This window comes from Homo sapiens, chromosome 20 (assembly GCF_000001405.40).
Source record: "Homo sapiens chromosome 20, GRCh38.p14 Primary Assembly".
Classification (NCBI taxonomy): Eukaryota; Metazoa; Chordata; class Mammalia; order Primates; family Hominidae; genus Homo; species Homo sapiens.
The window spans coordinates 20034148-20056057 of NC_000020.11; the positions used below are offsets into that span (position 1 = coordinate 20034148).

Sequence of the window (21910 nt, forward strand, 5' to 3'; positions counted from 1 at the left end):
AAATCCTGCCCTTCTAAAAAGCCAAAAAAAAAAAAAAAAAACTTGAGGTTTTTTTTTTTTTTGGAGAGGGAAAAGAACATAATTCCTAAAGAAAGGCCATATAACTATATCATAGGCCAACCATGTATTTTATGTGTAGTGTCTTCCTCTGTAATATGTGAAAATATCCAGTTAGTTAGTTAGTGAAAGACTTAACGAAAGAAAAACCCACAAGAAATTATTAAACTTTTACTATCGAAAGGATTTACTTTGGTGGAGTTGAGGGTGGGAGAGAAATGAATCTTTATGTTCTCCTGTTAGAGAATAGCTTTTTTCCTTCCAGCTTTCACACTGGCACATGCTTATTACAATTCTACCTTGGGAACATGACAGAATTTTTTTCTTATGCATTCATGCAACATAAACAGATAATTCTAGGAAGACTGTGATTAAGTCACTTGCATTCTGACCTATTATTTTCATCTCTCCCTGACTCTGGGTGAGCCAAAGGCTATTAAGATGATGTTCTCCTGCTCACTCACTAGGCAGACCTCTACTCGAGAAGTGATCTGACACCGCAGTAGCTGATGCTCGTCCAGTGACTAAAGCAGTCAGGCTGAAAACAGATTTTATCTCAACAACAGTCCTAGTTTCTTCTGTCCTCAAACACTGTTATTTATTTTCAAGATAAAATTTAGTAACAACATTACGAAGTAGCTTTTATTCCCTTGGGTGAATAAGATGTGCACATTTAATAATAAATTTGCTTACTAAAGGTCCTTTTAGGGGAAAACAACCTTAAAAATACAGTTCTAGTCCTTGGGCAGTGAACAAAGAAAAAATGTGCTTGAGAAACACAGTCCAGGTTAAAGGAAAACTCTCAGATCGGTTAATGCAGTTGAATTTTTGCTTGAGAATGTGAGCAACGTATCAGCAAATACATTCATTCTTGTGCTACTCTTCATTATTTAGCATAGAGCTACCTTAGGTGTTTCTACACATGCTCTAAACCAAGAGTAAGTTTAACATGTCAGCAGTGAGGAGTAGACATTTTCTACTATAGCACACTGGGAGATGTTTACTGGTACTCTAGGTAGAAATGACTCCATTGTCCACTAAGTTTGGGAAATAAATAATATGGCAACATTGCTACTGGAGATACATAATGTACAGAAGCCTAACTATAAAGAGATTTGATTAACGAGACTTAAGTCTTAGTCCAGAATTTCCCAAATTTATGTGAACATGGGACATCATTTTTCATAGCACACACGTGAACAAGCCATTATTCTTTAAACAAGGTATTACAAACTCAACCACTCTGGAGAACTGATGAGCGCCTAACTGAAATTATTAGACTAAATTCTTAGTAAACAATGTTTTCTGAACCTTGTTCAGAAATATAATCACTGCAAATTATTTTCCAAGTGTTGTTCTAAAAAACAATATAACTGGACACTAGTAAGAAAGTAAGGTAAATTATTAATCCACTCGCATTCAATTCTACAAGGAATGAAACCATTTTTAAAAGTGGCTTAGAACAAACAATTTACTGAGCACTTACTATGCACCCACCAGGTATATTCCTTTTATAATGTAATCTTCAAAATGAGCTGTCAAACTATTGGCCCATTTTGTGAATGAGGAAAATGAAAATTAAGTTATATAATCATGAGTGGCAGAGCTGGGAAATGAACTCAAGTCTGTGACTCTGAAGACATGAAAAAGTTACACATTTCAGATGAATGCATAAACTATCTTTATGGGTATGACATGAAAAGTAACTGTAGAATGTTACCTTAATTACATTTCCTAATGCATGATGTGGACAGACATTAGAAAAGTTTGGACTCAGTTGGAAAAACAAATCCAGCAGTTAAAAAAGTCCTTTACTTGCAATCCCTACCCCTAGCTAACCCAAGAGCATTTAAAAAATAACTTAAAAAGTAGCCATCAAAGATACCAATCAATTTCTTACTGGTGAAATATATAAGAACTTCCAGGAGTCACAAGAGTTCCAAACAATTAATTTATAAAAATAACAAAACATTTGTCTATGAAAAAAAGATCAGGATTCACTCTCATCGACGTCCTCATCTGGATGGTGCTCAGCATCCTCCTTTTCCTGCTGCTGTTTCTTCCACAGTTTGGCCATGGCCAGGAGTTTGAGGTTAGGTTGGTTGGCAGCATCTTCTGGAAAGATGTAATCAAAGTATTCTTCCCAGCCTGCATCAGACTACAGAAATAAAAAATGAAAAGATAAGCAAACGTGGGTGATATACTCACATATCAGAGTGAAGAATTTTTACTGGAAATCCGGATGATTACCTCCATTTTACAAAATAACATCAAAGTCTACTACAGAAAGAACAAGGGCTGGGTCTGAAAGACTGGGAGTGAGTAAGCAGCAACTGTAGCTCAGTGAGAACTAAACTGGTAGAAAAACATTCTAAAAATCTAAGCACAGCTCCTCTATAGCCAACCAAGATGTTCAGTGTCTCCAACTACATTGTGCAGTCTTACACTTAAGAAAACGTTTAACGATCTTTACATAATATTCACCCAGTAGCAAAAGCCATACATCTGTGCATTATTATTCCAACTCCCTACCTTCCCATCCTCACCTCCTATCAGTCACTGATTTCACTTCCCAAATATTGTTCTAACAGGCCCTGTGGCCCTGTTCTAGTTCCAGCTTCCATGTCTTGCTCAGCTTATAAAAACTGCTTCCTGATGGGTCTTCTTTCTCCAATCTAAGCCCCTTGAGTCTGCCAGGATGAGAGGCTAGCAATCTGGTCACGTCATTTTATGCAAAACAGCCTTCACTGACTCCCACCAAACTCCTTCTTACCGCCTACAAGCCTTCTCTGGATAGGCTCCTATCTGAAAGTTCAGTTCCATCTTCCTCCACACTTACTTCCTATTAAATGCTCTAAAAATATCACACTTCATGAAGTTCCCAGACTCAACCATCACCAAAACACCTTTGCCAACCCCTTCCCGTTCTCCACCTCTGACTGGACCATATGTTCTACCCCGTGTTTCCATAACAGCCAGATTGCAACCATCTCCTACTCCAGGTGGTCTGCTTCCATTCTAAGATTGTACATATGCCACTTAAAAGTCCACATTTCGACGTCAGAAGTGTTTCTACTCATGTGACGTGAGATGAACAGTCCCAGGGCAGAGTTCTTACCCCATCATCAGTCTGGACCTTTCTTCTCTTCTTGACTTTCTCTGGCATGAGTTTGTCTACTCTCTCCTTATCTGAAGCTGTTCCAAATTCTTCTTCAAAACTTCGCCAAGATTCCAGCAGCATAAGTCTCTCTTCCTTTTCTTCACAGTTTCGCATGGTTTTGTTAGCTTCTTCATAAATTTGTCTGCATTTAGTCAAACTTCCTTCTTTTCCTGAAGACAACTCAAACTGAGCAAAGCTGATCCATACCTTTAAAAAAAGTTATTATTGAACCAAATTAACCATATCACTCAGAAGATAATAATGTAGTAATAATAAAGCGAATTCCCAGTTAATGACATCGGAAAGTAATGTGTGCATCACTAATGTTTCACAGATGAAAACAATGAATATATGCTTCAATATAAACACTGAAAATATTTGATTCTACATTCTACAATTAAATGTCTGACATAGTCTTAAACTCTTGAAAAGAGTTTAACTTGGCTGGGTGCAGTGGCTCACGCCTGTAATCCCAGCACTTCGGGAGGCTGAGGTGGGCAGATCACGAGGTCAAGAGATCGAGACCATCCTGGCCAACAGGTGAAACCCTGTCTCTATTAAAAATAGAAAAATTAGCCTGGGCATTATGGTGCGCGTCTCTAGTCCCAGCTACTCTGGAGGCTGAGGCAGGAGAATTGCTTGAACCTGGGAGGCGGAGGTTGCAGTGAGCCGAGATAACGCCACTGCACTCCAGCCTAGAGACACAGCAAGACTCCGTCTCAAAAAAAAAAAAAATAGTTTAACTTTTTTTCAATCTTGTGATACCCAAGCTACTCACATGCAGCATAAACAATGACCTGGTATAAACTTAACATTCCAAACATTCCAAAGTCCTCTGAGACTCACGTTTCTCTTGAAAAGCAAGGAAGTCATTAAAAAAAAAAAAAAAACAAAAACCCAAACACTTAAAATACAGAAATATATCATTTTCTTCTGGACTGCTGATTCAAGCAAAATGAAAGATCATCTACAAAGCAAGGATACCTTGACATGCTGCGTCCGTTGAAGCAACCGCCGGTAAAGGTTTCGTGTTCTTTCTGTTTCTTCCTGCTCAATTTCAAAATCAATATATGATTTCCAAAGCACCTAAGGAAGAAAAGTAAATGGGTCAGTCTTGACATTTACAAAGCAGCATGCCCCCATCCAAAGCACAGCTGAAGTATCACTCTAACCTACATCTAGGAACATAGGATTTTTACTGAACAACTAAAGAACACATGTGGATAAGATAAATAACATTGGTATCTATAAGCTGGCCAAAACTTGGCTAGAATTCCAGATTACAGAAAAAGGGCCTTGGATTCAGTCTTAGAGATTCTCTTTGGAAGTTTTTCAAATGCTTGACTTATCAAGAGCTGAGAAACTTGCCAAGCATCTCCCAGGTACTCCATATTCTAGCCACACGCAATTGAGCGTCCAGAGAGAAAACAGGCCCAGGTTAGCCAGTATGCATGTTCTTACCTCTACTGTACATTCCTTGTTATTATGAGAGTTCAGTGCAACAAGCATTCACTGAACAGGTGCGCACTGGCTCGGTGCAGCCTGGCAGGGAATAAGGATGAATAAACCGTGGCATGGACACCTGAAAGCTGGCAGTCTGGTGGAGGAGCCGAGGACAACTGATGAACTCAGTGATACCCAAAGCCCTGCCTTAATTAATGCAATCAGGGGGCCAAACCATTAAATGCAGGGTCATGTTAGTGCATGAGATTAACAAAACGGCTGGGTGAGTTCTACGACTCATGTGAGATTCAAATCTTTCCTAGCTGTGGTTTGGTGCTACCTTGTGGGTCAAGCTTAACTACTGAAGGCAGGCGAGGACTTTCAGGACAGTGACAACAGAAGTTGCAAGGACATCCTGGTTTAGAGAATACAGGGATGTGCAGTTCCTACCTCCATCCCCCTCGTTCTCCGGGTGGGCCAGCCTGCTGGCTTCTTCCTTGCCTGGCCTCTTCCCCAGCCCCTTTAGGCTTTCCTGCTGCAGAAGGGGCGTCACCCACCCCCATGATATCCCAGTTCATCCTGGGCATCATCCTGGATGTCTACTGCTCTGGTATCTAATGAGAGGGCTACTTCCCCTGTCCCCCACAGCCACCTTTCCACGTACAAGCCTAATCTGAGTAGAAGAGACTAAGTTAGTTAGATCATCGTTATACTCTAAAATACACCCACATTTAGATGGTCATCTAAAGTAAGACTAAACACGTATCTCAAACAAAATTATATTTGACTTGAGATGCTCACCTCTGGCATGTCTAAACGTGGCTGACTGATGGCTAATTCATAGATTGCCCGTGCTCTGTCAATATCACCAAGGATTGTCTCTAATTCAGCGAATTTAATCCATGAGGTACAATTTTCAGGTCCAAATTCCAGGAACTTTTCATAAAGCTTCCGGCATCTGTCAAATTCTCGAAGCTGTAGCTCCAATTCTATGTAAACTTTAAATAATTTGTTCTTTGGACATTTGCCTATGGAAGTTCCCTGGAAAATAAAATAACCAGACCACTGTGATACTGTAGTGGATTTAATCTGTGCAGTTATTGCACTGCCCTAGAGGCTGTTCTCTGCTGAGGAAGAATCTTGCAAAGTCAACATGGCCTACCATTCTTTCCCTCTGTGGTATCACAATGTTTACTGGTTCTTGACAAAAGGCTGAAGGAAACTCCTCTAATTCACTCAGCAAGAGGCAGTGTTCCAGAATTGTTTGGGCAACTAAATAAAATAAGATTTGAAAGTTTCTCAGGATCTCCTAGGGAATAGGGATGTCAAATGCATAAAACCTCCTATAAATAAAAAGGACAAGGCATGGTGGCTCATGCCTGTAATCCCAGCATTCTGAGAGGCCAACATGGGAGGATCATTTCCGCCCAGGAGGCAGAGGTTGCAGTGAGCCAAGATCGCGCTACTGCATTCCAGCTTGGGGAACAGAGCGAGACCCTGTCTCAAAAAAAAACCAAACAAACAAAAAAAAAAAAAAGAAAAAAAAAGTGGAACAATTAAAAGTGCATTTAACACACCAAAAAGTTTGCACAGGATCAGATTACTAATTCCAGTCTGTGGAAAGATTTAGTAACTGGTAGCTATAGAAGTTTCCAATATTGAAACAGAATGTTAATTTGCCCCAGGTAATAAGAATAATTTACGCATTATTAGTCAGTGTTTTTACAGAGGACGCATGTTTTCTAACATGTCCCAGGCTATAAAGGTATAATACTTCTGTCACTCTTTAAAGTAGGAACTGTACAACTTCCAAGCACCAAGATTTTAATTTCTTTCTCATAGAACTTGATGAGACATCTTGATCCTTTCTTTACTTACCAATGCTCTTCTGGCTAATGACAGATTCTTCTGTCGTATTTCAAACTGTGCATACAGTATCCACATTTTGGCAAATGTGAACTAGAAAACAAAAGCACAAAAATATCTAGCTTAAAAGCCTCATCCAAATTAAATTGAATTAAAATTAATTTAAATTAACCAAAGCCATTGGTAATTCGATTTCTCTAAAACTTCAGAGTAAGAGGAATGTACTCTGCTTATTTACAAGCAAAGACCACATTCATTTCACAAAAGTTAGAAACCCACATACCATGATCCAGATACTATATTGTACTGCATGGCATGGTAACCTCTCCTGAGAACCATGATCCAGATACTGTACTGTACTGTATGGCACGGTAGCCTCTGCTCAGAACAGACTTTGTTTTGTAGGCATGCTTGTATATGGGCAGAATGTCCTACCTCTATTCTGAAAAGTAACTCAGTCAACACTTCTACAGAAGGAAACACGTTTTGTTTCTCGTGCTGGGAAACAAGGCGGAGGTAACATCTCAACCATCTACACAAGGGGCACATTCATCTGTGCATGCACACACTCACTGTTACCAACAAACCCGCCTGTGTGTCCCCCGCACACGTTGTGTGCTCTCTGCATGGATGTCTTTCTCCTTCCACTCAGACTATTCACATTACCTAGCCTTCTCTGAATTTATATTATTTGTTTGTCAATGCAGGTTGTCCTCCAACCTAGTCTGTGAGCTGTTTTCAGAGGCAAGGAGCATATCTCAGTCTTATTTATGTTGTCCATGGTGGGACAGGGAAGCATTTTATCAATCAATATTATTTCACTGAATTACTTCACAAGTAACAGAAGAGGATTCTGACCTGTTTGAAATGGAACACTTTAGAGCAAACATACCTTTTTGTGAGGAATTAGTTCCAAAGAGGCTTGATACACCTGTCTTGTCCTCTCAGGATCCTGTATTAGGATAAGAAATTTTCACAAAATATTGAAGTCTGCTGCTAACACTCATTTTACTAGTTACTAATTTTACTGATATTGGTAAAAATGTACACCCCCAAAACAGCATGTTTCACAAGTTGTTACTTGCAAACCCTGATTTATGATCTAAAGTATGAACGGCCATGAAACTTCAGTTTAAGAATCACCAACAAGATAGCCACCAAACTTCTAAGCCCTTCTTTGTAGAAAGCCGTTTTGCCTGATGGCAGAAAGAAACAAAGATGTTTCATAGTCTCAGATCAAACCCAGAAGGTTAATACAAATGATTTCTGAAAATGCCACTTGATTTTTGCTAAAAGCAAAAATGCATAATCTAGCCAGAATTACTCCTATTAATGAGCAAATCCAGGAAACTATATTTCACTAAATTAAGGGCTGGTTCACTGTTCTCTTTCAAGCTCCAAGTGATATCTTGTTGTGCCTCAAGTAAAAATCAAACCAAAGTTAAAAAAGCCCCTCACGTGTGGCCACAACAAGCACAGAGGGTTTAAAATGTTGCAGAGCGAATATATAACTGTATGGATGAACAGAAGCCTATAAAAATTTAAAACTAAATTTCCTTCTTTCAAGAATTACAAACATCCACAATAGGTGAGCTGTGAATACAGAAGACAGGAAACCATTATCAGCTGACACATAATTCTGTTTTTTCACCTTTGCCTCCAATTCTTCATAGAGTGCATAGTTGATCCAAAGATAAATGTAGCGCTTCCAGTGCCTCTTCTCCTGAATGGGTGGGACATTGGCAATGGCCCTTTCATAGACTTCTCTCACGGCTTCAGCTTCTGCGTCACTTTCTACCAAGCGCAAGTAATCAAACCATGCATCATAATTGTGTGGATTCGCCTAGAAAGACAACCAGTTTAATAAATAAAAAACAAAACCAAGAGCTGCACTTGCCAGGTTAAGCAAGCTGAAAAAAGGCATCAGGCTGACTTTCTATATTTTAGCACCTTTTCTTCTAAATGTTACATGTTCTTTCATTTTAAAAACACCATCCCTGAGACTGCATAAATAGAAAAGAAACAGGAATACAGAGGATAGATTACTGGCCAGGTGTCCCACAGCAAGGACTCCTTCATCTATAGCCATCACTCTCACGACAGTCAATAATTAGATGCCTATTCTTGCCAATGCATTTGCTTAAATATGTGACTATGTATCATTATGTCTGTAACAACAGAATCGTATCATGCTCACAATTGTTAAACTTGCCTTTCCAATTAATAGCAATTCATCTTTAACATATCTTGCTAACCTACCACCACATTTAATAACAGACTTAGTCCTTTGCTTGGAGGTATCTTAATTAACTTGACTAAGGAAGAGTATTTTTAAATACACAACAGAATACTGAAGGAAAATGACACTCTCTTTGAATTGAAATCAAAATAGTACATTACAGAAAAAGAGATGCCGATGGAACCCTGTCTAGCATACATCTTTTGTTCAGGCAGTTAAGCTCAAAGGTGATGTGCAAAACAGGTTTTTGGACCAATCTCTGACTCTTCCACCTTCTTCCAACAATGAGCTCGAATGGATTCCACATTTCTTTTGCTCCAGTTCTACATACAGTCAACAATCAACAAAACGACTTACAACATGTAAGTGGCAGAGCAAATCCAAGTGTTGTTTGCTTGCCTTTTCTATCAGCCTTGTTTATTCCTACTTGTCTGAAATAGCTGCCAATTGGATCACGGGCACATCATCACGAGAGTAATCACTAGTAGTGCTACTTGCTATTATTCATTTTAGTGTTGCTAGTATTGATGAGCACATCTTGGGTTATCTGCAGAGTTGACCATCCACACCAGTGCTCACCTTCACTTCTTCTTCGTACTGGAATCTCCGTTTGCTCACAATGATATCTTCAATACCCCGCCTATCACCAAACTTCTTCTCAAAGATGGTATAATTTTTAAAGAGTTCTTGGGCATCTTGTTTTGAAATTCTGTCCAGGGCATACTTGTAAATCACTCGTACCCTTTCAAACTAAATGCAGACAGGATGATTACCTTCTATAACACAATATTCTCATGCCAGTCACAACTAGGAGAGTAAATATAACAAAATATTACTTATAAGTTAGATTTTGAGGCCTCATAATATCCAGAGTAAGATGCTTTTCTCCCTCTTGTTGAAGGTTATCTCTGTCAGGATGGACCGGTACTCTGCTTTGAGCTCCATATTTAATACTGTCTACCTAACACTGCCAACTGGATGTCTACTGCACATCTCAAACAGGTCCAAAACTGAGCTTCTGTTTCCTCCCCACTCAAACTGGGACTCTCCCCATCTTCCCAATTTTAGTAGGCAAGGCCTAACCTACAGTCACTTGCTCAAGCCAAAACCTTCAGGTGATCCTCAATTCCTCTTTTTTCCTCATACTCCATATTCACTCTTGCAACATGCCCTACCATTTCAATCTCTTCCACACAGCCATTTGCTTCTCCCCAGCCCCCAGCCATCAAACTCCACTGTTCACCTGGCCCACTTCAAAAGTCTCCCCACTGGTCTCCCCTGGTTCCACTTTTGCCATCTACCCTCATACATTCTCCATGAATTAGCCAGAGGCTCTCCTTAAAATATAAATCATATCCAATCACTGTCCCGCTTAAAACCTTTCAATGCTTCCCACTGGCCCGAACAGAATCTGAACTCCCTAGCATGGTCCGTGCAAGACCTTATATAGGTTGAGTATCTCTTGTCTGAAGCATTTGGTATCAGAAGTGTTTTGGATTTGGGATGTTTCCCCAGTTTGGGAATATTTGCATTATACTTACTGGTTCAGCATCCCTAATCCAAAAACCCGAAGTCTGAAATGTTCCAATGAACATTTCCTTCGAGTGTCATGTCAGCACTCAACAAGTTTCACATTTTGAGTTTTGGATTTTCAGACTGGGAATGCTCAAACCTGTATTTGGATGGATCTCAATTCTGTATTATTTGAACTCCCTTTTTTTTTAAGAAATGGGGTCCTGCTCTGTCACCCAGGCTAGAGTGCAATGGCACGAACATAGCTCATTGTAGTCTCAAACTCCTAGGCTCAAGTGATACTCCTGCCTCAGCTTCCCAAGTAGCTGGGACTGTAGGTGTGCACCACTATGCCCACTCAATTTTTTTTTTTAGAGACAGGGTCTCACTATGTTGCCCAGGCTGGTCTCAAACTCCTGGCCTCAAGTGATCCTTCTGCCTCATCTTCTCAATATTTGAGCTATTTTCATAGGTACAAGGGAAAAAAAGAACTCTCTTATTTGTAGGGCAATCTCTGTTTCCATTCTAAATGTTTTCTGTTCTAGGGCTTTAAGCTTTTTGTTTCCCATATTTATTATCGGTTAAGTCCTTTACTTAGGATGCCAAAAGACTAGTTCTCAGTTTACGGGCATTCAGACTAAAAGGCTTAATTTTCAAACAAAGCACAATAAAATTAAGACAGTTATAATACAATCTATAATCAGCTCCCATCTGTAGCTTAGTCACATATATATGCTGTTCTCTGTGAGAAGCTGTGTTTTTGTATTTTGAAAACATCTTTCCAGGGATATGTCAGTAAGAAAAAATGGAAATGAACTCACCATGCACAAAATGTAATCTTTGCTAAGCTGTTTTACAGTATAATGAAGTTAGGTATACTTACCTCTTTCTGATTTTCTTCAAACTTGGCAAAGGCAACATAAAGGTGCTCATCCATATGTTCATCTCCAAAGAATTCCACAGCTCTCTCATACACTTTCCGTGCATGGGCAAAATAAGCATGTTTTTCTTCAAAGCGGGCATACTTGATCCAGTTCTTAACATCAGGGTGCACGAGGACAAGTGCAAGGGAATTAAGGAAATCCCAGGCAAAACAGCATGGCTTAAAAAAATAGTAAGTAAGTAAACACCAAAACCATACCAAAGCCTGGAAACTCCAAAAATTCAAACTACAACTCTAGGGGAACAAAACACATACAAAAGTGTAGAATTAAACAGTGGCTTCTGTGAGAGCAGGGCCACGCCTGTTCATCTCTATTTTCCTCCAGTGCTTAGTTAAGATTTTAGTGGTGGGTATAAACTCGAGTTGGAAGCAAAGAAAAATCTCAACCCAGGTTACCAACCATGTGATCTTGGATAAGTCACTGAACTTAGACGTCTAAGTCTCAGCTGTTTCATTTGTAAACAGGGAAAAATAATGCCAGCCTCACTGGATTACTGCCAGCTTTAAATGAGAAAATGTATGTAAAGCCCTTAGCACAGTTTCTAGCCAAAAGAACATGGCACCGTAAGCGGTCAATAATGGTCTGGTCATTAAATAGCACCAATTATATTAAAATATGAATACTTGAACTAATAATTAAGAAAAAAACATGCTATAAAAAGAAAACTGTTAACTAGAGTCAAAGCAGAAAGTTTTGAATTGTCATTTTAATCTATCTTCCTTGAATAAATCATTAATTTCCAAAGTAGTAATATATTCCAATATGGCAAAGAAGAGCATCAGTTCTGAAGCTGCTCTACTAGGTTCACATTCTATTTCCATCAGCACCTGTGAGAACCCAGTCAAGCTACTTAATCTCTCATGCCTCAGCTCCCTCATCTGTAGGACAGAGAAGTTCCTACACTGCAAGGATGTTATGAGGATTAAACAACAATATCTGTAAAGTACTTAGAATACTGCCTGGCACGTAGCAAGTGCTATAAAAGCTTTCGTCAAACTAATAATATTAAAATTAGTAGACATAATTAAGATCTTAACATTGTCACCTCAACAGAGAAGAGTAAAAAAATAAAAAGATCTTAATACTGCATAATAAAGTTGACTCTCATTATTTCTGGTAGTTATGTTCTATTTAGTCAATGCGAACACTTAATTATTGAGTACTGAACCACTGCTCCTAGGAGAAACGTGTATATATACAATCTCACATTCATCATCATCTTAAATCCTAAAAAGAACTCATCCTGGCAGATTCTATCTTCATTATTTTGTAAGAAAAGTGGTTCAGAAATGTTAAGTGACTGGACTGAGGCTGCCCCACTGACAGGGATTCAAACTCCCCGACTGGCCCCAGAGCCACAGCTCCTTGCACTACATGGCACTGGCCCTTCCTGTCTCCAAGCTCTAGGCATGGTTATATGAGGTTAAGACCAGAAGGCAAGCCTCACCTTGTTGGACTTCATGCTCTGTGCATGTCCACAAATGACTGTGAAAGTGCCACAATTACTGATTTTGGGGGTTACAAATAAATTTTAGCAAATACGTGATTTTGCAAACATGGAATCTGCAAATAGTGAGGAATGACTGTACTTCAGTTTCTAAAAGTGCTTTCATGTGTATCATTTAATCTTCGCAACAGCCCAACAAAGGTGTTTTTATTCTTGTTTTTAAGAAGAGGACACCAACTCTCAAAGGAGTTAAATGACTCTCTGGAGCCACACAGCTAGTAAACAGTAAACCTTGGATGAACTCCAGTAAGGTAGTAATGACCAACACAAACCTTAGAAAAACAGGACTGGCAATGGCAGCCAGGACCTTAGTACAGTTAGTCCTCCAGCCATGGGTTCCATATCTGTGGATTCAACCAACCTGAGATAAAGTATTCGTGAGAAAAAAGTGCTTCTGTATTGAACATGTCGTTTTTTTGCTTATTATTCCTTAAAATATACAGAATAACAATTATTTATATAACATTTACATTGCATTAGGTATAAGTAATCTAGAGATTATTTGAATTATATGGGAGGCTATGCATAGGTTACATGCAAATACTACATCATTTTATATGAGGGACTTAAGCATCACCGATTTTGGTATCCCCTTGAGTTCCTGGAAACAATCCCCCAGGAATATCATTTTCCACAAGGAAACATTAGCTTTTAGCATTACAATAAAATAAACCCAAACTCTCACTAGAAAAGACTAGTTACCCAGAATACAAATTTTCATTCTGACCAATCTCTTTCCCTACAAAACATAGGGAAGCTGATAAACTGGCATTCTTGACTTTGAGCCTGACATTAATGACTGTGTGTCCTGATCATGAGACATCTCTACAGGAGCAGCAGCAGCATCCAGGACAATCATGGCACCATACAGATCTCGTCCAAAGGATATATCGCTCATAAATGGTGCGGGCCCGATCCACCTCTTTGTATCTCAGCTCAAAGTTGATGTAGGAGTGCCAGGCTTGCTCCTCAGGCTGCCACTCCATCCAGCGCTCAAACACCTGCCGGGCACCGGCAACGTTTCCCAACATTTCCTCCATGTACGTGTACTTGTACCTGTAACAAAATCACCCGAAAATATCTGCTGTGGTTTAGTTCTTCCATTGTTGAATGGGAAGAAGATTGAAGATTTTACCTTTCTTAAAGGTTAAATCAAACATGTTTTGTCATTTGTATGTAAATCTGAAAAAGGATGAACCATTGGAAAAAAAGATTTTTTTTTCTTAAAAGTTGCCTAGTTCAACAAGAAGCTTATGAATAAAAGATTGCAATCAAAATTTTAGTTTTGATTACATAGCTATAGAACATTACGATTATGACTTAATAGACTATGGGACATAACAGCATTTATGTCTGAAGAAAAAGTAGGATATCAAATTAAACTATCATCATGTAAATAAAATAAATACAGAAGATGTGGAACTTTGCTAGTCTATAAAAGGCTGTTTTGTTAGATCAGAAACTTACCAGAACTGATTAACTCGAGGCAGCGTTGTTATGGCCCGGTCCCAGATATTTCGAGCATGGTTGACTTGGCGATTCTTCATTTCCATTTCTGCGTATTTCAGCCAGAGTGTAATATTTCGGTAGTCTACATCTAAAGCACGCTCGTATATGGATCGAGCCCTTAAGAAGCAAGATTTGCAGGGCATCAAAAATAGAGCATTCAACACATGTAGCAGTTATTTCAAACTATCTGGAATGCACTGATGTTTTATTAGGTGTCTACCATGAGCCAAGTTCTGGGCATAAAAAAATGAAAAGATATAATGCTCTCAAGTACCTTACAAAGTCTTATAAAAAGACATGCATGCAATTATAATGCAATGTGATTTATGTTATAGTCAAGATCTGCACGGGAAACAGAGAGGAAGAAATGAAAATGTTTGGTGGAAAAGGCTAAGTAGTAGGTAATTGTAGAAATGAGAACTTGAGGAACGTTCCGATTTACCAGGAAACTAAGTTTGGTGAGGAGGGGGTGCTCATTCCAGGCAAGGAGAACAGTCAAGCCTCACGATAAGGAGACATGATATATTCAGGGAGTGGCACATACACAGGCACAGTGGGGGAAGGAGGTATGCGGGGAGAATGCAGAAAGCTAGACCACAGGAAGGGCCAGATTGCAATTTTTATTTTTTTTGGCCATTGGTTTTATTTTTTTTGGCCATTGTTTAGCTGAAATTTGTAAAAATCTCAATATATACAAAGCAAATGAAATTGTGCTTCTTTAGCTACAACTGACAAGATCTATCTCTAAAGCCTCTTCTGCCACCCTCCCCAGGACTATTCTACCCCAGTACTCCTGAGGCCCTCAAGGGAACCCTAGGGTTCCATGGAACCAAAGTTGAAAATTTCTACCCGAGGCACAATCTTTTACCTGTGCTTTAACTTTTTCTTCTTTTCTTTTTGGTATCTGTTAATCTATGAATCATTATATACAAAACTACACTCTCAGTAATTTTACCTTTGAATCTCCTTTAGGCTTTCTTCCCATTGTGCGTATTTTATCCAGTTACTAATCACAGTCCTGTTTTTTCTTATATTATCTTCAAAAGTCTGGAAGAAGGCAAAAAGGGTCAAGTCAAAAGACAAATGACTAAAAATGACAGCACCCTTGGTCTATTTTAAGTCTTGTACTAAAATGGTTATTCATTTTGTTCATATTTAAGAGAAATTACATCCTGGAATCCTTGAGGAATAAGAAACCCACTACAGAAGGTTACAGTCAACTAACTGATACTTTAAAATGGTCTATGCTTGTCCCTAATAAAAAATGTTTTTGACTATTACCTTTAAGTCCTCTGGTAATTCTCAGAATTTCATATATAACAGCATTAGTGCTTTAAAACAGTCCCACATTCTAGAGTGAAGAGGTCAAATCAGATCCCAAAGTCTTCTCATGGTCCTTTTGCAGACCTCAATTCCTTTTCCTTTCTTTCTTTCTTTCTTTTTTTTTTTTTGAGACAAAGTCTTGCTCTGTCGCCCAGGCTGGAGTGCAGTGGCACGATCTCGGCTCACTGCAGCCTCTGCCTCCCGAGTTGCTGTGATTCTCATGTCTCAGCCTCCCGAATAGCTGGGATTACAGGCACCTGCCACCACGCCTGGCTAATTTTTGTATTTTAGTAGAGATGGGGTTTCACCATGTTGGCTAGGCTGGTCTCAAACTCCTGACCTCAGGTGATCTGCCCGCCTCGGCCTCCCAAAGTGTTGGGATTACAGGCGCGAGCCACTGTGCCCAGCCAGATCTCAATTCTTAACACAGAAGGTGGTATAGACAGAAGTACACAGTGCAGCCTTACTAAGCATACCCTCCTTCTTGTTGTCAGTTGTTCCATCTGCTAAACTTCCGCTCACTTTGATTCAGCATCAAAAATTATGCAGATTCAATTTCTTTACACTTTAACCAGACAACTCATGGCATATTTTATATAGTTCAGAAAAATGCTGTTATCTGGTAACCAGAAGTACATTATTCATGCGTCTGGAAACACTTAACCTCATCTTGCCCTACAGAATCCAACCAATGAGGAGCTTTTCAAACTGACCGATACAGTCTTAACAATTAGTGGACTGAAAGATACCACACTGACTGACCTTCCTTTTCCTTAGTTTATAATCATTTAATTCTTCTTCATCTGTGATCTTCTGTTGAGGTGGAGGTGGAAGAAGCTCAAGTTCTCTTTCTTTAGCCTCTCTTAAGAGTTGTTCAGCAGTTATCTGTACCTCAGCCGGGGCTTTGTTTTTCACCTTTTAAGAAAGAAGACATTTCTATTTTTAGTAGTTGCTCTTCACACAAGGCTTAAGAAACAAACATACATTTTTTAGGATATGAACTTTGTTAGTATTATCACAAGATGCCCTTTTTGTATGACATGTTCCCATTCCTCCATGAGACTGAAAAGAAAAAAAAAATACCGTTTTCTCTCTTATTCATAGTATCTACTGCAAAGCCATAGGTAAAAGTCTCAAGAGAAAAAGGTGGCAAAAATAATAGCAAGTTTTCCCTTTTAGATGAGTATAATAATAAACTTTGAGGCCGTCTAGGTAAAATTCTGACCAGAGGTTTTGTTTTATCAAAATGTGTAGCACATCTTATTAACAGCATTACAACCTGCATTTACAGAATTCTTCAACTTATTTAATGCCCCGGTGTATAACTGGGTTTGGTTTTACATGGCACTTCAAGTCAAAGGCAATTTCAGTAAGTTCTCATCATTAGACTGTAAGCTTCTTGAGGTCTTAGAAGCTTACAGTCTAACGTAGCTTAGAGCTGTGCTGTCCAACACAGTAGCTATGAGTCACATGTGGTGAGTACAAATTGAGGTGGACTGTAAGTGTAAAATACACATTGGTTTTGAAGATGAAGTATAAAAAAGAATAAACTACCTCATTACATTTTTTATACCGATTACATGTTGAAATGATAATATTTTGGATACATTAGCTCAAATAAAATATATATTATCAAAATTAATTTCACTTTTTTGCTTTGTTTTTACTTTTTAATGTAGATATGAGAAAATTTAAAATTTCATATGTGGTGTGCATTATATTTCCATTGGACCAGTGATGCCCAATAAAAGTTTATGTAGCTGAATTATAAAAAATGTTACTTAATGCCACATGTGGAGTAATGATGATAATGGTGATAGCTCATATTTAATAAGCACTAAGTGCCAGACACAGTGTTACTTGCTCTATATGCATTACTCCTGCGAGTCAGACAAATAGTTATGTAAAGGTCCAGTTCAAGAGAGTCATCCGGGCTCAAGAAAGACTGGAGGGAGGGTATCTGTAAAGGCTTCAAAGTCTGCCACATATTAAGCACTTGGTAAGTATTAGCTATCAAAGGAAATACCAGATAGTAAGTCTACTGTTTAATTAACTTATGATACTATACTACTCCTACCGTCTACTCTCGCCCTCCGCTGTCAGCTGGGCTAACTCCTATTCAGCCTTCAAGTCTCAGCTTAAAGGTCATTTCCTCAGCAAAATTTACTTTCAGGACCCCTTCATACGACCCCCTTATTCACGCCCATGGCATATTCTACTTTGCCTCTCGGTAACATCTAGCAAGGTCGTCTTTATACAGAAACTCGTGTTTTGAGTACTGCTTGTGGCCAGCGTACGAGCGTAGCTTCCCAGCGCCCAGTGCAGTGCCTGGCTCAGTAAATCTTCACCGAACCACCCCACTCCACTCCCCAGCAAAACCACCCCAGAACGAAGGCCACGCCAACGCGGGTCGTGCTCCGCGATGACAAGAGCCCGCGCCCCACCACCAGCTGCCCTTCCTCTCCATCTCTCAGGGTGAGCCTTCTCCCCGGCGGGAACACTCTCTCCCAACCCGGGCACCCTCAGGGCTGAGGGATGCCCCTTTCCTAGGCCACCTCCTACAAGGCCCCTCGCGATCGCCTACCTTGGCCACTTTGGGAATCCGCTGCTTCCCGGCCGCGGTGGAGGCCGCCATGTCTGCAGCAGTCGACCTCTGGACACCTGTCCCCGGCACGGACGCTAGAAATCGGCTCTGAGAGCTCACCGAAACCACAAAGCTTTCAGAAAACAAACAGGATCTCGGAACCGGAAGCGGAACTTGCAGGACTGACCTTTGACCTCTCGCTTGAGCCGTGACGGAGGCGGCACCGTTTCCATGGTGACCAGGCTGCGCGTCCTCCTTGCGGCAGCGCGTGGAGTGCGGCGTCCTGGAGCTGCGGATGAGGTGGGTAACGCCGTGCTGACTAGCAGCGACGCAAGGACTGCGGTGCAGGGCGTCCAGGGCGCATCCCCAGGTCAGCCTCCGGAACTGGGATGACCAGGCGAGGACGAGTGGCTCTGTCGAGCCGTGGCGCCCTGCAAGGGAGTAAGAACGGAGCTCCAATCTGGATGCTCGAGGGCGGGGGAAGAAGGGAGAGCGAGGAAACTACCATTCCCAGCATGCGACGGGGCGAGCTGCCGCCCTTTTAGGCTGCAATGCCTCGAGCATTGCATTCTAGTAGTCTCTGGGTCCACGCCCCCTCGTTTCTGGTTTCGGGACAGTTGTGCCCAAATAATTCTAAGGTGCCCAAATAATTAACTCTAAGGCTTGGAATTAAAAATAACAGAAGGTACTTTGAAGCCAGATATTAGGAAAAAATATAAATAGAGTAACTGGAAAACAACTCAGTCTTGTGATAAGAAACATGTTTAAATTCTGTGTGTGCCTTAATTACTCTAGTTAAATTTTCTTAGCCTCAATGTCCTCAACTATAAAACAAGGCTAATAACATCTGTTTCACTAGGATTAAAGACAAATGCTCAGTAGATGTTAGCTGTTATAATACTTAACCTGCCCTCAAAAACTGAAAAGCAAAGGTTAAGAGAATTTTTTTTAATAGACATTTTTAGAGAAGTTTTAGGTTCACAACAAAATTAAGTGGAAGACACAGAGATTTCCTCCCTCCACAGCTTCCTGCTATCAATTATTGTACCTCTTCCCTCCTCTAACAGCCTCCAACTCTTAAAAATATCCTCCACCAGAGCAGTACATTTGTTACAATCTTGAACCTACATTGACACATCATTATCACCCAAAGTTCATAGTTTATATTAGGGTTCACTCTTGGTGTACATTCTATGAGGTTGGACAAATGTATAATGACATGACTTGGCAGCTCATTTGTTAGGATAATTTCCACAGTTGCAAAGCTCTTTTGGTGTTTGGGGAAAATATATATTTATGTATGTAGTAATATCACGTCTACCAATGCAGATATTACTTTCAACAAAAGATTTATGCAGATTTCTAGAACTGCAGTCAGTTATAACCAACATCAATGTATTTGCCATAACTCTTTATTAACCATATTATTTAGATATTTTATCTCACTTTTCAAAATTTAAATAGAGAAGATTTTATATCACTTTCATAAAGCCACCTAACAAAATAAATAAATATTAAAAAGATGTTTCTTTGAAGTGATTTTCCTTAAATGTGTTACTGTAAACAATTGATTTACCAAATGAATCATTGGTTTAATCATCTGTTGCCTTTGCTCAAAAGTACAAACATGCTAGAATACTTTGCTTCTGATCACCATCCTTCTCTCTTACATTTCTGTTGTCTGGCAATTCAGTTCATCTCTGTGTGTGTTTTTTTTGTTTGTTTTTTTTTTTTTTTTTTTTTAGGAAAAATGTATTATCCTTCTTACTTTTTGCCATCAATGCTTTTGTAGATATACCTTCATGTTTACCTTCTTATTTCCCAGCATTTAATCTTGTATTCCACTTCTTTCTGATTTTATTCTTCTCAGAATATACCATCTCCTAGTTCTTTCTACAAGATTCTTTGAATTCTTTCAGTCTTTGTATGAAATTGTCTTTATTTTATCTTCATTTTAAAGTGATTGTTTAGGTTTATCAGTCTAGGTTAATGGTTATTTTTTCCTTTTATATTTTTAAAACACTATTCTAGTAGTTAGAAAACTATGGGCCGTAGACTAAATTCAGCCCATTGACTATTTTGTATGGACTGTGAATGAGCTAGGGATATATATATATATATATACACACACACATACATACACATATACACACACACATTTTACATTAAACTTTATATGTAGTTTACATTTTAAACATTTTTTAAAAATTACATGGCACATGAAAATTATACATAAGTCAACTTTCAGTGTATGTAAGTAAAATTTTGTGGGAATACATTCATGCTCATTTGTGCCGATATTGTCTCTGGTTGTTACTGTGCTACAATGGCAGAGTTGACTAGTTGTGTAGACAACATGTGGCTCATAAAGCTTAATGTATTTATTCTCTGGCCTTTTACAGAAGTTTGCTAACCCCCGTGCTACTGGCTTCTAATGTTGCTCATGAGAAATATTCTGTCAGTCTAATTATTTTTTATAGACAGTCTGTCTTTTGTCAGGTTCCTTTAAAGTTTTCTGTTTGTCTTTAGGGTTTTGTAGTTTTACTATATATTTGGAGTTTATTTGTATTTTTTGCTCTGAACTGAAGGTTCATGTCTTTCATCCATGCTAAAAGTAATTAGCCATTATTTTCAAATGTTTCATTTATTCCTTTTGGAATTCCCATAAGACAGATGTTTTTCATTCTGTCTTACATGTGTCTTTACTGAATTCTGTATTTTCTGTTTCTATGTGCTTCTTTCTAGATAATTTGTTCATAAGTATCTTCCAGTTTATTTTCTTTATTCTTCTGTTTTTAACCCATCCTCTTAGTTTAAATTTTAATAACCACGTATTTCATTTTTTAAGTTTCTGTTCTTTTTTAAATAATGACCTGTTCTCTTCTCATGACTTTTGTTTCTCTTTCTATATTTCTTTATTATAAACATACTTAGTTTGTAGTCTGTTTCAGAGTCTATCATCTAAAGTTCTTGGTGACTCCCATAATACACAGATTGTGTGGACTAGAATGCCATACCCACTTTAGTCTAGAATTTGGACTTCTCAGCAGTATTTTTGCTTTATTTTCTACCTAGAGCTTTGTGTAGAGAAAGCTTGTCACTTTCTTGGGCTGGTGAGTTTAATTTTTCTAGCCCCCTCACTTACCGAGGGGCCCATCCAAAGTCCCAGGTAGATGCATGGTTTAATTTTTAATTCTCTGTTTGGAGTGAGGTCCATTCTATCCCCAAAACCTGTGTCAGATCGGCTCACATCATTGCCACCTGGTTGGAGAATTTCCCTCGCTCGCTTTCTTTCTTCTTTTCTTGTTTTCTTTTTACCAAAGTCAGTTATCTAATTAATTATACTTCCTTATTTTATTCAGAATTTTTATATACTTGTAGCATTAGTTTATGATATGTTTCACAAACAAGATGTCTCATTCCAATTTTGCTTTCAATTTAAAACCAGAACAAGGAATGACAATATTTATGGTTAGCTTCGATAGGAGTCTAGACATTATTAATTTCTCCTTCATTGTTTTCCCTGTTTTGAGCTCACTGGCTAGTATATAATAAAATGGCTTTCCCTATGAAGGAAAGAAGGGAGGGAAAGAGAGAAGAGAGACTTACAGAAATTGAGACAATGAGAGAGAAATTGAAATCATTTTGTGACCTACTGTTTTTGTCAACAGCATTTCCCAAAGTGTCCTTCTGGAACGTTAGGTTCTCCACTGTTGCCGTCATTAGAGATTCTCTTCCCAAAGAGTGTCGGAAAGGCTGGGTTATA

At 39.0% G+C, this 21910-nt stretch overlaps 2 protein-coding genes across 7 annotated transcripts in view, besides 3 other annotated features; one reads left to right on the top strand and one right to left on the bottom strand.

Annotated features, from left to right (window-relative positions):
- Nucleotides 1–220: 220 nt before the first annotated feature.
- Nucleotides 221–21899, bottom strand: CRNKL1 (crooked neck pre-mRNA splicing factor 1). 6 transcript variants are annotated; one of them, NM_001278627.2, is made up of 15 exons: nucleotides 21801–21899; nucleotides 18328–18481; nucleotides 16323–16475; nucleotides 15193–15284; nucleotides 14196–14354; nucleotides 13618–13784; nucleotides 11161–11339; nucleotides 9345–9515; nucleotides 8178–8369; nucleotides 7419–7478; nucleotides 6539–6619; nucleotides 5462–5701; nucleotides 4202–4303; nucleotides 3176–3424; nucleotides 221–2215 (listed from the first exon to the last, which is right to left on the bottom strand). In NM_001278627.2, the coding sequence occupies exons 5-15, from the start codon at nucleotides 14279–14281 to the stop codon at nucleotides 2048–2050; spliced, it is 1695 nt and encodes a 564-aa protein (NP_001265556.1). In that variant the 5' UTR covers nucleotides 14282–14354; nucleotides 15193–15284; nucleotides 16323–16475; nucleotides 18328–18481; nucleotides 21801–21899; the 3' UTR covers nucleotides 221–2047. The 6 variants fall into 6 exon arrangements, with proteins under 6 accessions (NP_001265556.1, NP_001265555.1, NP_001265554.1 ...); NM_001278626.2 differs by having other exon boundaries at nucleotides 18332–18575; NM_001278625.2 differs by having other exon boundaries at nucleotides 18145–18575.
- Nucleotides 18174–18343: an enhancer, noted in NCBI's record as "active region_17604". NCBI's record gives its function as "activates an Ori minimal core promoter by ATAC-STARR-seq in GM12878 lymphoblastoid cells {active_cell/tissue: GM12878}" and the evidence as "EXISTENCE:reporter gene assay evidence [ECO:0000049][PMID:35858748]".
- Nucleotides 18354–18653: an enhancer, noted in NCBI's record as "active region_17605". NCBI's record gives its function as "activates an Ori minimal core promoter by ATAC-STARR-seq in GM12878 lymphoblastoid cells {active_cell/tissue: GM12878}" and the evidence as "EXISTENCE:reporter gene assay evidence [ECO:0000049][PMID:35858748]".
- CFAP61 (cilia and flagella associated protein 61) overlaps nucleotides 18385–21910 on the top strand; it is a 308167-nt gene continuing 304641 nt past the window's right edge. Inside the window, exon 1 of the mRNA NM_015585.4 lies at nucleotides 18385–18444. The gene's annotated coding sequence lies outside the window, so the exon portion shown is untranslated. The remainder of the gene's footprint in view (nucleotides 18445–21910) is intronic.
- Nucleotides 18744–18793: a silencer, noted in NCBI's record as "silent region_12709". NCBI's record gives its function as "represses an Ori minimal core promoter by ATAC-STARR-seq in GM12878 lymphoblastoid cells {active_cell/tissue: GM12878}" and the evidence as "EXISTENCE:reporter gene assay evidence [ECO:0000049][PMID:35858748]".

Excerpts from the sequence above, each read along its gene's own strand:
- CRNKL1 (NM_016652.6), bottom strand. The coding sequence starts at position 21,867 with ATGACGGCAACAGTGGAGAACCTAACGTTCCAGAAGGACACTTTGGGA. Across the intron at positions 9,516-11,160 it reads TTGAAGAAAATCAGAAAGAG|TTTGAAAGGGTACGAGTGAT; the intron begins GTAAGTATACCT and ends GTCTGCATTTAG. Across the intron at positions 7,479-8,177 it reads ATGAAGAATTGGAGGCAAAG|GATCCTGAGAGGACAAGACA; the intron begins GTGAAAAAACAG and ends ATCCTAATACAG.